The sequence below is a fragment of the Homo sapiens genome, chromosome 8, assembly GCF_000001405.40.
Source record: "Homo sapiens chromosome 8, GRCh38.p14 Primary Assembly".
NCBI classification, from domain to species: Eukaryota; Metazoa; Chordata; class Mammalia; order Primates; family Hominidae; genus Homo; species Homo sapiens.
The window spans coordinates 125,509,668-125,523,404 of record NC_000008.11 but is presented as its reverse complement, the minus strand read 5'-3'; the positions used below and the strand labels follow the sequence as shown (position 1 = coordinate 125,523,404).

General features: G+C 48.3%; 2 long non-coding RNA genes across 2 annotated transcripts in view, besides 3 other annotated features; both read right to left on the bottom strand.

Moving 5' to 3' along the window:
• The window catches only part of LINC02964 (long intergenic non-protein coding RNA 2964), a 160,228-nt gene extending 156,730 nt beyond the window's left edge, over window positions 1-3,498 (bottom strand). Inside the window, exons 1-2 of the long non-coding RNA XR_001746072.2 lie at window positions 3,376-3,498; window positions 392-662 (exon numbers count right to left, since the gene is read on the bottom strand). This is a non-coding gene — a long non-coding RNA (long intergenic non-protein coding RNA 2964). The remainder of the gene's footprint in view (window positions 1-391; window positions 663-3,375) is intronic.
• The window catches only part of TRIB1AL (TRIB1 associated lncRNA), a 76,581-nt gene that overhangs the window by 19,981 nt on the left and 42,863 nt on the right, over window positions 1-13,737 (bottom strand). The window lies entirely within an intron of this gene.
• Window positions 1,593-2,094: an enhancer, noted in NCBI's record as "H3K27ac hESC enhancer chr8:126533553-126534054 (GRCh37/hg19 assembly coordinates)". NCBI's record gives its function as "activates a minimal SCP1, AML or CMV promoter by ChIP-STARR-seq in primed H9 embryonic stem cells {active_cell/tissue: H9 hESC(primed)}" and the evidence as "EXISTENCE:reporter gene assay evidence [ECO:0000049][PMID:30033119]".
• Window positions 9,337-10,536: an enhancer, noted in NCBI's record as "P300/CBP strongly-dependent group 1 enhancer chr8:126525111-126526310 (GRCh37/hg19 assembly coordinates)". NCBI's record gives its function as "activates an origin of replication core promoter dependent on BRD2, BRD4, P300/CBP, MED14 and CDK7 cofactors, with strong dependence on P300/CBP, by STARR-seq in HCT116 cells {active_cell/tissue: HCT116}" and the evidence as "EXISTENCE:reporter gene assay evidence [ECO:0000049][PMID:35650434]".
• Window positions 10,051-10,420: an enhancer, noted in NCBI's record as "active region_27918". NCBI's record gives its function as "activates an Ori minimal core promoter by ATAC-STARR-seq in GM12878 lymphoblastoid cells {active_cell/tissue: GM12878}" and the evidence as "EXISTENCE:reporter gene assay evidence [ECO:0000049][PMID:35858748]".

The window sequence follows — 13,737 nt, the reverse complement described above, 5'->3', positions numbered from 1 at the left end:
ATAACAAATTGCCCCAAACTTAGTGATCTGAAACACTTTTTTTTTTTTTTTTGAGACAAGGTTTCACTCCCATCTCCCAGGCTGGAGCACAGTGGCAGAATCTCATCTCACTGCAACCTCCGCCTCCTGGGCTCAAGCAATTCTCCTGCCTCAGCCTCCTGAGTAGCTGGGACTAGAGGGAAATGCCACCACACCTAGCTAATTTTTGAATTTTTTGTAGAGACGGGGTTTTGCCATGTTGCCCAGGCTGGTCTCAAACTCCTGAGCTCAAGTGATCCACCTGCCTCAGCCTTCAAAGTGCTGGAATTACAGGCATGAGCCATGGTGCCTCTGGCAGGTCTGAAATACTTTCTATCTCAGTTTCTGTGGGTAAGGATCTAGTATGGCTTACCTGAGTCCTCTGGGTCAAAGTCTCTTACAAAGCTACAATCAAGATGTCAGCTGAGACCACAGCCATCTGAAGGTTCAACTGGGGCAGGATCCACTTCCAAACTTTCTCAGTGTTGTTGGCAGGATTCAGCTCCTCACTGGCTGTTGGCCAGAGGCTTTCCTCAGTTCCTTGCCAGTTGGGCCTCTCCATGAGACAGTTTACAACATGGAGGCCTGCTTCATCAAACCGATCCAGGGAAGGAGTGTGAGCGTGCTGGCTAGATGGAGGTCCTCTGTAACACAATCATGGCAGTGACATTTCTCCAAGGGAAGCTGGGAAATCACACACCTAGCAAAGGGAGCAGGAAAGCCATGCTGGGATTAGACCAGTCATTCTCCTCAGCTGGGTTCTGTCGGCAACTCAACTTATATCAGATTACCAACTAGAGATGACCATCACACAAGGTTTTCTTCCAGAGCACCAGGATTGACCAAGACAGATTCTTCTCGCTCAGCCTTGCCCCCAGCCCTGTATCTCCAGAGGAGACAAGTTTCAGGGCAAGGCAACTAAGCTACAGTTTGGAATTTCCACACACCATAGCTCCATGCAAGAAGGGAGGACACTGAGTTTTCCAAACTAAGACAACTTAGGCTTCTGCAGACAAAACAAAGGACAGAGTTATGGAAGAGATCCACGATTCCTATTCTGACTGGAAACACTTTGGCAAGGGCCCTGCTGGCTCCCTCTTTCAGCCCATTCTGAGCCAGAACTTCAGGGATGAAAGCAGTGGGGATCCTTTTCCTGGACAGCCCTTGGCAAGGCACATGAACAAGTCACAAGCAGAACTGGACCTAAAATAAATAAGACCATATAGACCTGGGTTCGAGCCAAAACCAGGGTGAGAAGGATCCATGGAATGCCTGAGCTAGAGGGAGACCTGAGAGAAGCTTACTCAGTGGTTCCCAAAATGTGTTTCGTGAAACCTTAGGGGTTCCTATCCCTCTTCAACCAGCGAAAATCAGCCTTCTCATGTTTAATCTATAAGATTGCTATAAAATGTGTCATCTGAATAAAATATATTCTGGAAGAGGAAGGGAGGGAAGAAGGAAGGAAGGAAGGAAGGAAGAGAGGGAGGGAGGTAGGGAAGGAGCGAGGGAGGGAGGAAGGAAGGAAGCAAGCGAGGGAGAAAGTTATAATCTTGGTAGAGATGGGGTTTTGCCATGTTGCCCAGGCTGGGAAGGAAGGCAGGAAGGAAGGCTGGAAGGAAAAGAAGGAAGGAAGGAAGGAAGGAAGGAAGGAAGGAAGGAAGGAAGGAAGGAAGGAAGGGAGGGATTAGGAAGTTAGGAAGGGGAAGGACGGGAGGAAGGAGGGATTAGGAAGGGGAAGGAAGGGAGGAAGGAAGGAAGGGAGGGAGGAAAGGAGGAACATGCAGTTATAATCTTTAATCAAAAAAATCTCATACTCAGAGTTCACAAGAAGATATTATGAGTAAATCTTCCTGATATGGGCTAAATCATATGCCCCCAGAAGATATTGGAGGTCTATCCCCAGTACCTGTGACTGTGAAATAGGGAAATTTGGGTCTTTGTTGATAATTAAGTTGAGATGAGGTCATTGGCATGGGCCCCAGTATCCTTTTAAAAGGGGGCCAAGCGAACACAGAGAAGACACGAAGAGAGCACCATGTGAAGATGAGGGCAGAGAGGATGATGCGTCCACAAGCCAGGGATGCGAAAGATTTCCAGCAAACCACCAGGAACTAGGAGAAAGGCACTCTCAGACTTCTCGCCTCCAGAATCGTGAGAGAATGCATGGCTGTTTAAACCACCCAGCCTGTGATCCTCTGCAGCCCTAGGAGACTAACCACCTCCCTACCGCGAGGCCTGGCACTAAGACATCGTGTGACAAGCACAGACCCCCTCCTCCTTCCCTCTTCAGGCAAAGCTGGCAATAGAGAATCTGATGGGGGTGATCGTTGGAAATCTACAATGGCAGGTGGCATCACGGAGGTTGTGATCAGATGCCAAGACCTCATGTCGGTTCAGGGATGTGGATTTAAGGATGAGATGCAGGCTGATATTCAACCAATACGCACCTGTAAAGGTGTTAAAATAATGACATACTCTCATACCTAAGTGGCTAGTTGCCACTGTCCCAAGCCTGGCAAAGGCACCGTCCATCCCAGCCACTCTGTCCCCTCCCCAGCACCCCCAGACCACCCACCTTTAGCATTCAAAGGGCCAGTGCGTACCGCAGAAGGGGAACTCTAGGATTTGGCCAGTGTTCATTCTAATTGGTCACTACCTGTGCCAAATGGCTTGTTTAATATTTGAATAGGACTCTGGCCCCAAACGGAAGTGGAAGAACAAGGCAAGACCGAGGTGCTCAGAGGAGCGCAGGACAACAGGATCCCAGTGCCAGAGCTCAGGATAGCCAGGGCCAGACTAGCAACAAGGATGACAGGGCCAAGTCCCTGAAGACAGCCCTGAGGGCTTCAATCCCCAGGATGTGGCCCAGCTCAGCCTGCAGATTTGGGGAGAAGGGAGATGAAGGCCACATGCCAGGCTGGGGTTGTCCAGGAAAGTCCTTCCCCTCTCTGGGCCTCAGTTACCCCAACTATAAAATCAGTAGACTCTTGACTGCTCTGTGGCCCTCAACTTGAAAATGCAGAGAAAGGGCAAAGGCACCATCTCTTCTCCCCTACTCTCCTCTCCCCTTCCCTCCCCTCCCTCCCTCCCTCTCTTCTCTTCTCCTCTCCTCCTTCCTCCTGTGGCTCCTCTTACAAGCACCTGCCCTGCAGTTGAAGAAACACGTCCATGTGTTTGCACTTCAAGAATAGGTATACATAGGCCGGGCACGGTGGCTCACCCCTGTAATCCCAGCACTTTGGGAGGCTGAGGTGGGCATATCACCTGAGGTCGGGAGTTTGAGACCAGCCTGACCAACATGGAGAAACCCAGTCTCTACTAAAAATACAAAAATTAGCTGGGCATGGTGGTGCATACCTGTAGTCCCAGCTACTCTGGAGGCTGAGGCAGAAGAATCGCTTGAACCCGGGAGGCGGAGGTTGTGGTGAGCCGAGATCACACCACTGCACTCCAGCCTGGGCGACAAGAGTGAAACTCCATCTCAAAAAAAAGAAAGAAAGAATAGATATACATGAATAAAGACATCCTAAAATAATGAGAGTCACTGCTCACTGCTGCCTGGCAGTGTGGGGCAGGTGTGGGGTTGCTGGCCCAGAATTCCCAGAGGCCTGACAAGGTGTCCCCATCATACCTCATCCTACCACACTGCTCAGTGAGGGCTGTCCAGACAGGACATTCTGGGGAAAGCACTGCAAATCCAGCCCACTGGTTTCTACTGCAGCCTCCCTGGGAAGCAGATGAGGCAGCTAGGGGGTGGGAATGGAGTGTAGCCAGGAAGGGTGAGGGCGTGGCCATTTGTCAAAGTGACTTTGCTTCCACAGAAGAAACTATTCTGCTTCAAGAGGATTCCCAGCATATCCTAGCACTTAATAAAATGTTATTTATAGTTGGTGAGTTTGGAGCAGTACAGCCTAGAAGAGTGGTTTTCAAACCACTTTTGGCCATGAAATGTATTTTACATGGTGACACAGAACACCTTTATATATGTGCATGTATATATGCATGTGTGTGCAAATATATGAATCCAAGGTGTGTGTGTGTGTATGTGTGTGTGTCTGTGTGTGTGCAACTATATGAATCCAGGATGTGTGTGTGTGTGTGTATGTGTGTGTGTGTGTATACATGAACCAAATTTTTCAGAAACCAATCTTTACAGTTTGCCACGAGTAATGCACTCTTATCTTTTCCAGTCTATTCTTTTTTTTTTTTTTTTTTGAGATGGAGTCTCGCTCTGCTGGCCAGGCTGGAGTGCAATGACACAATCTCAGCTCACTGCAACCTCCCAGGTTCAAGCAATTCTCCTGCCTCAGCCTCATGAGTAGCTGGGATTACAAACATGTGCCACCAAGCCCAGCTAAGTTTTGTATTTTCAGTGGAGACGAAGTTTTGCCATGTTGGTAAGGCTGGTCTTAAACTCCTCACCTCAGGTGATCCACCCACTTCGGCCTCCCAATATTCTATTTTCTTTTTTTCTTTTTTTTTTTTTTTTTTTTTGAGATGAAGTCTCGCTGTGTCACCCAGGCTGGAGTGCAATAGCACAATCTCAGCTTACTGCAACCTCTGCCTCCCAGGTTCAAACAATTCTTGTGCCTCAGCCTTCCCAGTAGCTGGGATTACAGGCGCATGCCACCAAGCCCGGCTAATTTTTGTATTTTTAGTAGAAATGGGGTTTCAACATGTTGGCCAGCTGGTCTCAAACTCCTGACCTCAAGCTATCCACCCGCCTCGGCCTCTCAAAGTGCTGGGATTACAGGCATGAGCCACTGCACCCGGCCTCTATTCACTTTAAAATGATCATGATCTACTAATTGCTTTCATAACCCAATAGTTAACAATCTCCATTTTGAAAAATAGGGGCATAGAAATCTACTTGGGTTTGAATTCAGATTCTGCTACTTCCAAGCTGAGTGCCTTTAAGCAGGGCCCTCAGCCTCTGATTCTCGGTCTGTAACCTAGAGGTTTTAATCCCGCCTGCTGGAGAAGGTGGATGTGAGGATTAAACATATATAAAGCCCAAAGCATCACAGCTGGGCATAGCGAGCAGTCAGTAAAAGGCAGAGGTTGATATGATGTCACATGAGAAACTGAGACTCTCAGCGGAAGGAATGAGGATCCCTTGTCTAAGCCTCTAAAACCCTCATCTTCTCCACCCCTAACCCATCACACATGTATCCTTCCCTGCCAATGGCTGACAGCAACACAGAGCTCACTACCTTACAAAGGAGCCAGAGCAGCTGGGTCAGGTGCTGAGCCACACGCTTTAGAAGAGACATCCATGAATTGGGCACTAATCCTGCCCTGGAGGAGCTTAGATTCCAGAAATGAGTCATAAATCCAATTAGTATATAAACGGGTGGTGTCCTACACAGAGCAAAGACAACAGAACTAGAGTCCAAAGATGAAAGCTGTTCCTTCTAACTGTGGAGATCAAGGTAGTGCCCGACGGCAGGATGCAAGTCTACCTTGCTCAGCAAAGGAACCCCAGGGCTCACTACAGCCCTGGGCATGTAAGAAGTGCCTTATAGATACATATGGATTAAATCATTTAATACATCAAAAAGAAGATGGCCTGGGGAGAATCCAGACATACAGGAAGGGACAGAAGGAGGACATTCTAGGCAAGGAATTCCAAAAAGAGTAATTTCCAGGGAGATCCAGAATGACATTTAACTTTATGAATCCAAACCCATCCCAGGAAAATCCAAATTAATTGCCCTACCACCCCCTTATTCCCATAGTCCTGTATTGGCCAAGAAAAACTGAAGATGGAAAATAGGAGTCCAGATGTTGGAACTTGGATCCCAGTCCTGGGTCTTTCCCAAACAATCCCGGTGACCTTGGGCAAGTTATTCCCCTCAGCCCTCAAAAGAAGGATTTGGACAAGATAATCTCTAAAATCATTTTCAAGTCTATAGGCCCTTTTTTCCATGAGATCCTTTTTCTTGCCCTCTCTCTCTTCCAGCTATCCAGGGACAGCTCATTCTGAATTGCTATAATCATTTGTTTGGCCCATAAATATGAGCTACCAAGAGCTGGCTGGATCCAAGGTATTCTGTTTACTATTGATATGAAATAAATTATTCCAACATTTAATGGTGTAAAACAACCAACTACCATTCTATCTTGCTCATGAATTTACAGGTCAATAATTCAGAAAGGGCATGATGGGCAGCCCTTGCTTGGGAGCCTCTCACAAAGTTGGATCAATGCCAGTCAGAGCTGCTACACTCATCTGAAGCCTCAGTTGGGCTGGACATCTAGATTTGCTCAGTCACGTGAAATCTCAGTCCAAGATGGCTGGCAGCTGAGGCTGGCTCTTGGCTAGGTGTTTAGATGTGCCTCTCCAGCATGGTAGTCTTGGGGTTACTGAACTCCATGCAAGTTGGCTGGCTTCCTCCAGAGTGAGTGACCCAAGAGAATCAAGCAGAGGCTCCACGGGCTTTTATGACCCAGACTAGGGATCATGGAGCAAAACCTCTGCTGATTCTACTGCTCACGAGAGAGTCACTAAGGCCAGCTCAGATTCAAGGGGAGGAGACATAGATCTCTCCTGTCAATGGGAGAAGTGTCAATGAATTTGCAGACTTGTCTCAAGACTGCCACACCAGGCCTCAGTAGAATATGACAGAGCCATCTGTGGCCTTGGCCTTCCCTGCCAGCCCCATCTCCACGACCTCAGTGCCCTCATGCCATCCTGAGACACAATGGTCCCAGATCTTATCCTATTAGTTCCCTCTTCTCTTCAATCAAACTTTGCCTGCCCCACGTCCTATTCCTTCAAGATCTCAGTCTGTGCAAGATCCTCAGGGATCCTAATAGATAACAGAACACCTGAACCTTGTTTAATAGGCTCATCTCTGGAAGACCTCTCACTGAGTGACCCAAATAAGGCAATTACAGACACTGTGGCAGGTAAGGAGACGCGACACATATTTTGAATTCTGCTGGGTTTCTGATGTCCACTGACCTTGAATTTGGAGTATATAATGAAACAAAAGATCCATGAGATCAACAGAGCTACACATGGGGAAATATATCTGAGACTACTTCCTAATTTCTCTCTAAACCTGCACATGGTTTTAACACATGGTTGTCAGGCAGAACGCCCATCCAGATTTGAGCTGAGCCAAACTGAGACAGCACTATTTCCATCAGCAATACTCTGAATTAGCATTTATTGTATCTCCACCTCTTACCCAATATTAGGCCAGTAACGCAGTTGGCTAAGCCAAGTCCAAAGAAACTAGTTAGGACTGGAATTGGGTGGATGATATTTATAGGATACACTGTAATGGGTAACATGGAGTAGAATGGCGTGCACTGAAAGGGAATGTGCTCCACATTCACTCCTCAGGGTCTTGATAATTGCTTCCCTTTCTGGAATGTTCTACCTCACATATCTATATGGTAGGTCTTTCACTTCATTCAAGTCTCTGGTCAAATATCACCATCCTTGATGACCCATCACTCTCACATCCCCTTCCCTGATTTATTTTTCTGATCTCTACCATGAATATTTATATATATTTGGCTTATTCTCTGTCTTCCCCACATAAGAACATAAGTTTCAGCCAAGCGCGACAGCTCACTCCTGTAATCCCAGCACTTTAGGAGGCTGAGGTGGGTGGATCACTTGAGGTCAGGAGTTTGAACCCAGCCTGGCCAACATGGTGAAACACTGTCTCTGCTAAAAACATAAAAATTAGCCAGGCATGGTAGTGCGCGCCTGTAGTCCCAGCTACTTAGGAGGCCGAGGCAGGAGAATTGTTTGAACCCAGGAGGCAGAAGTTGTGGTGATCTGAGATCATGCCACTGCACTCCAGCCTGGGTGACAGAGCAAGACTCTATCTCAAAAAAAAAAAACAGAACATAAGTTTCATGAAAGCAGGGCCTTTGTCTTTTCCTGTTTACTGCTGTATCTGCCCTTCCTAGACCAGTTTCTGGTATACAGTAGGCCTTCAATAAATACTTTTTGAATGACTGAATCATTCAACAAAAGGAAAAGATAGAATGGAATCAGCTAGGTTGGGGTGGGATGGGGAGGGGCAGATAGTTCAAGATAAAAGGAAGCAAAAAAAAAAAAAAAACCAGAACATAAGTTTCATGAAAGCAGGGCCTTTGTCTTTTCCTGTTTACTACTGTATCTGCCCTTCCTAGACCAGTTTCTGGTATACAGTAGGCCTTCGATAAATACTTTTTGTATGACTGAATCATTCAACAAAAGGAAAAGATAGAATGGAATCAGCTAGATTGGGGTGAGATGGGGAGGGGCAGGTAGTTCAAGATAAAAGGAAGCAAAAAAAAAAAAAACTCAGTTCAGAGAAGAAGACTGGAAACATCTGGGGAGCTTTTATGCCACATAATGCTCAGGTCTACCCATAGATATTCAGATTCAATTGGCCTGGGGTGGGGCCCAAGCACCATTATTTTTAAAAGCTTTCTATGTGATTCATATTTGCAGCCAGGAGTGAGAAGCACGGTATTACCACATCCTGGTTATAGAAATAGGTTAACTTTAAACTCAGCTGTAAGGCTTATGCATAGAAGAGATACCAGCCAGAACCTAGAATCCCAACAGCCTGTCTGTAAGGGAGCAGGTTCACCAACAGCAGTAGCCACAGAAAATCTCTTGAATTTTTAACCATTACCCAACAGAGCATGTTATTCTGAGCAGGGTGTGTATGGAAACTCTCATCTCTCAGCTTCAATACCTGATGCTGCCATGGGTCCAGGCTCTCTGCTGGTGCATCCTCCGTGTCCTCTCTGCACACTATGAATTGGGCAATCCTAAAGGTCATTCCATCTTTGCAGAGACATAAATAGGACACCCTGGAACTTCAGTCTTCTCCAAGACAGACTGTCCCCCTTGTCTTTCTCCTGCTGTCCAGCTAATCGCAAAATCTCCCTCTGCTTTGGGCCAAACTAAGCAACATTATGAAGGAAACCCAAAGTCTGACATCGACAGTGACTTCAGGTTTTCCTCTCTCCAGTGCCCTTTGAGGCCCCCCAGCTTTTATCCAAATCTACTTCAGTTCTCTAGAAAAAATAATGACAATGATTGATGATGATTGATGATGATGATGATGATGATGATGATGGCAACTACTTTTTCCTGAGCTCTGACTGTAATAAATCTACCATACCTTGCTATGATGCTCACTTCACATAACAATAGCTAGCACTTACCAAGCATGCATTATACACCAGGCACTCTTCCTTTAATTTTGCATCTATTAGCTTATTAATCAACTCTATGAGAAGGCACTATTATCCTCATTTAAAGAGGAGAAAACTGGGGTACAGAACAGTTCAGTGACCTGCCCAAGAACACACAGCTGATCATTAACAGACCGAGGTCTAGGCCCCCGGCTGCAGAGTGGGGGTTCTTTACATTATATCCGGCTGCCTTGGGTAATCCTCGTGTGTTTAGATATTATTACCTGATTTGACAAATCAGAAAACTGAGGCTCAGCTATGTCCTAGGACTTTTTCCAAGCTGTGGTTTTGGTTTGGGGCCTCAAATCCAATACTGTCCGATTCTAAAGCCTGACGACTCCCAACCACCCTTCCACTCTCCCCCTTAGTTCTCATGCCGCTGAGCTTGGGGGAGCAAGGGGGGCCTCCCCTACCCCTAGCAGGTGTAATTTGAGCCTTTTCCTCGTGGTCAGGAATTTCTCATATGGGCAACCCAGAGAAGGGGTGGCCTCTGGATTTCTGGATTCAGACCCTGTGTGCCACCACTTGAAAGCAGTTACACTAGGCTGCGCCCACCCTAACTTTCTCCCTGGACCCCAGGAAGTGCAAGTGATTGCTCTAGACTGATGGAGGGTCAGGAGATTCCAAATGGCAGGCTCAGGTGGGTGAGAGAGGATCTTTGAGTCACTGAGAAAACCAAAGACTTGGGTCCCTGCAGCCCCCGCTCCCAGGTCCAGGCGACCGCACCCCAATACTTTGGAAATGTGTAATTCACACCCTCATCCTCCTCCCACAGACCTGGGGTTCAGGCTCTGCTGATTCATTTTGAGAAGCTCCACTTTCCACAGCAACATGAGGAAGGGCTGTCCCCCGCCGGAGCCATGTGTGTTTGCTATGATTCATCAGATCGTCTGCAATCTCCTCAAAAATAGCCCTTACGCAATCCAGGAGCTGCTGGGAGCCTCGCAGCGCAGGGGCTTCCCCTCTGAGTCACCCTGTGGGCCTCGGTCCATTTCCACGCGGCCACGGGAACACGGAGGGACAGGAACATGCCCGAAAGAGGAACTTGGGGAATTAGCAAATGGGGTGAAGGCAGCCCCTCAGTGTTGGCAACTGCGATGAGGCAAGATCACAGCTGTGAGGATCCTGTAGAAGTGAAATATGCACCATAAACAAAATCTCCCAGGGCCTAGGGTCACCCCTGCCTCTTGCCCTCTGGCTGTGGGGGTCTGTAAAAAGGAAGAAGGGGACAGGGCTGATTTGCTCTTTCTGCAGATTCGGGTGTTTGGTGTGGGACAGGCTACAGGCTGACGCTGCTAGAAGGCTAGGCAAGAGGCAGAGATGGACGGAGAGGATAGAGAGGTTGGTTCCACCCCTGCTGCCCTTCAAACCTTCCCACTCCTCCAGTGTTTCACTTCCCGCTGCTCACAGAGTCAAACGGGGGAGCTTGGAACACACACGATGCTCAGGCCCCAGCTCCAGAGTTTCTGATTCAAATCACTGGAGTGGGGCCTGGGCATGGGTGTTTTTTAAAGCAGATGTTGTAGGGGTAAGAACTACTAGTCCAGTCTCTCACTTGCCTATGAAGAAACTACACCCACAGAGGGGAAGGGATGTACCCAAGGTCACACAGCAGCTAATGACAAAGATTAGACTTGAACTTTACACTGGCCTGCAAAGCTATGCATGATCCGACCTCCCCAACACCTCTCTGGACTCTTTGACTTGATACTCTCTCTCTTTCTCTCTCTACCTCCCTCTCTCCCTCTCTCTTCCTCTTCTGTCTCTTTCTCTCTCTCCCTCTTCTATCTCCCTTTCTCTCCTTCACTCCCTGTCTCTCCTTCTCTCTCTCTCCCTCCCTCTCTGTCTCCCTCTCTCTCTCACTCTCCTCTCTCTCTTCTCTCTCTCCTCTCCCTCTGTCTCTCTCCTTCTCTGTCTCTCTCCCTCTCTGTCCCTCTCTCTCCCTCTCCCTCACCTTCCTCTACCACTCTAGCCACCTTGCTCAAACACTGAGCATCCTCCCCGCTCAGGGCATTTGTACTGACTATCACCTCTACCTTTACCCCTAATGGTGATTCACCTCTCCCATCATCCCAGGCTCTGTCCCAATATCAGCTCCTCACACCACCTTCCTTGGCCACTCTTCCAAGTCAGTGGGCCTTCCATCACTCTCCATTCCCCCACCTGGCTTTATTTTCTTTCATGGCACAGCCTGACCTTATATCTTTATTTGTTTATTGCCTTGTCCCCCATGGGATGTGAGCCCCAGCAGTGTCAGGCTCTGTCTCCTGCTGCATCCCAGCACTGGCTCAGTGCCTGGCACGTGGTACCTGCTCAGTACGCATTTGTGAGATGCATGGATGACACCCTGCGGTGTTCACAGGAATCCCAATGTCCCTGCCCCACACCCCACCAGCCCAGTGTGCCAGCTCTTGGACCAGCCCAGTGTGCCAGCTCTTGGACCAGCCCAGTGTGCCAGCTCTTGGTTCATCCCCAGGGTCACATGCTTCTCTTTAGGGACCAGCTCATGAATGCCAAGAAACAAGACCAGAACCCCAATCCTTTCTTAGCACAAACAGTATCTCTAAGGCACACCCATGAAGGACCAAGGACTGCTTCGTAAGCAGCATATGGGGGTAATCACAGTCAGAAAACTGTTGTCCCAGCCCAGGAGCCTTTTGGGGAGGCCCTTCTAATGATGCTACCACTGACCAAAATGTGTTCAGACTCCCACAGGGCCTGGCCTTCACAATCAACTGGCCCCCACCTCTTTAATTTGCAGCCACCATTTTGTTTTCAACCAGTCACAGCTCATGCATGTATAGCTGTTTATCCATCACAAAACAATTTCACAAATATGCTCGGTTCCCACAGTAAACCAGGGTGCTAGGTGTTACTGCCCTTCATTCTGCAGACAAAGCCCCTGGGGCCTAGAAAAGTCACCTCACCAGCCCCAGACCACACAGCTAAGGATGTGGCCAACATCACACCTGAAGCCAAGTCTTGGCCAAATCTAGCCCTTCACTCTGGCCTCCAGTCCAGCTGTCGCTGCACGTGGAACGTGATTTACCACCCAAGCTTAATACCAAGCTTTGTTCTGGATTGCGTCTGGCTATTGGCAGGAATCAATCTCCTCCTCCAGGAAGATGGAAGGTTTGCTGTGTTTGAAGAGCTACAAAAGATCAGGCCTCAGCTTCTGAAAGACAGTCCAGAAGAGGAACTGCTGATGCTCCAAGCAATCCCACCTATTTCAGCTTTTGTTCCCCAAAAGCAGAGCCTGAGACAAGGACTAGGGTTCAAGCCATTTATTTAGGAGATGACCCAAAGAAGCAGGAGTGAGAGTTGGGGGTGGTGAGTTGGGGAAGAGGAAAGTCAATGCAACTGTGCACCTTTTTTTTTTTTTTTTTTTTGAGACAGAGTCTTGCTCTGTTGCCGAGGCTGGAGTGCAGTGCTGCAATCTCGGCTCACTGCAGCCTCTGTCTCCCAAGTTCAAGCGATTCTCCTGCTTCAGCCTCCCGAGTAGCTGGGATTACAGGCACACACCACCACACCCAGCTAGTTTTTGTATTTTTAGTAAAGACAGGGTTTCATCATGTTGGCCAGGCTGATCTCAAACTCCTGACCTCAAGTGATCCTCCTGCCTCGGCCTCCTAAAGTGCTGGGATTACAGGTGTGAGCCACCGCACCTGGTCCTAAGTGTGCACTTTTGAAGTCACCCTTTTAGGCACGGAGCTAGATTCTCTGGGAACCTCTGAGTTCCCAGCTGTGCTTGCACTAGGCTGAGTGAGCTCCCGAAGCCCAGCCTGAGGCAGAAAATCAGAGAGTCACGCATCTCCAGCACCTTAGGTGGGAGGCTGTGAGCAGACGTCTGAACTCATAAGGAACCATCCACCCACCTCAGATGCAGCTAAAAACCAGAGACAGGCCAAGAGGATGTGCCGCAGAGCTTCAAATGCATCTCCTACAGCAACAGCGTTGGAATAAAGACTGTCCACACTCTCCCCTGGTGACAACTTTAAAAGTAGTCCAAGTGTGTTTGCTTAAAAGGAAAAGCTGATCACACTTCCCATCCAGTTATGACCATCAAAGAGTCACGATTATATATGTCAACAATTTCTCAGCAACTTCCTGTGACTAATAGCTGGAGCAAGGGGCCTTCCACCAGCCTACAGCAGCCCAGAGGGCTCCTGGGTCCCCTTTCTGCGGTCTCCAGCCCCTCACTCTAAAGCTCTATCAGGTACCCTTTCTTCCCTGATGAACCCAGGCTCTGTCTCCATCAGGCCTTTCTTTCCATAAGAGGTCTTCCCCAAGCCTTGTTGCTCAGGCTCTGTGATTGGGAAAGCTGGAAAGGCCTGTGCCTTTCACCCAGACTCCTGCGGAAGTGTTGGGCCAAGGCCTTCCACAGATAGAGGCATCTGGTCCTGTAGGCTTCTGTGTGTAGACCTAGGACTAGCCACATAATTTGTAGGTAGGGCCTCGCGAAAAAAAAAAATACTGCAAGGCCCCTTGTTCAAAAATCATTAG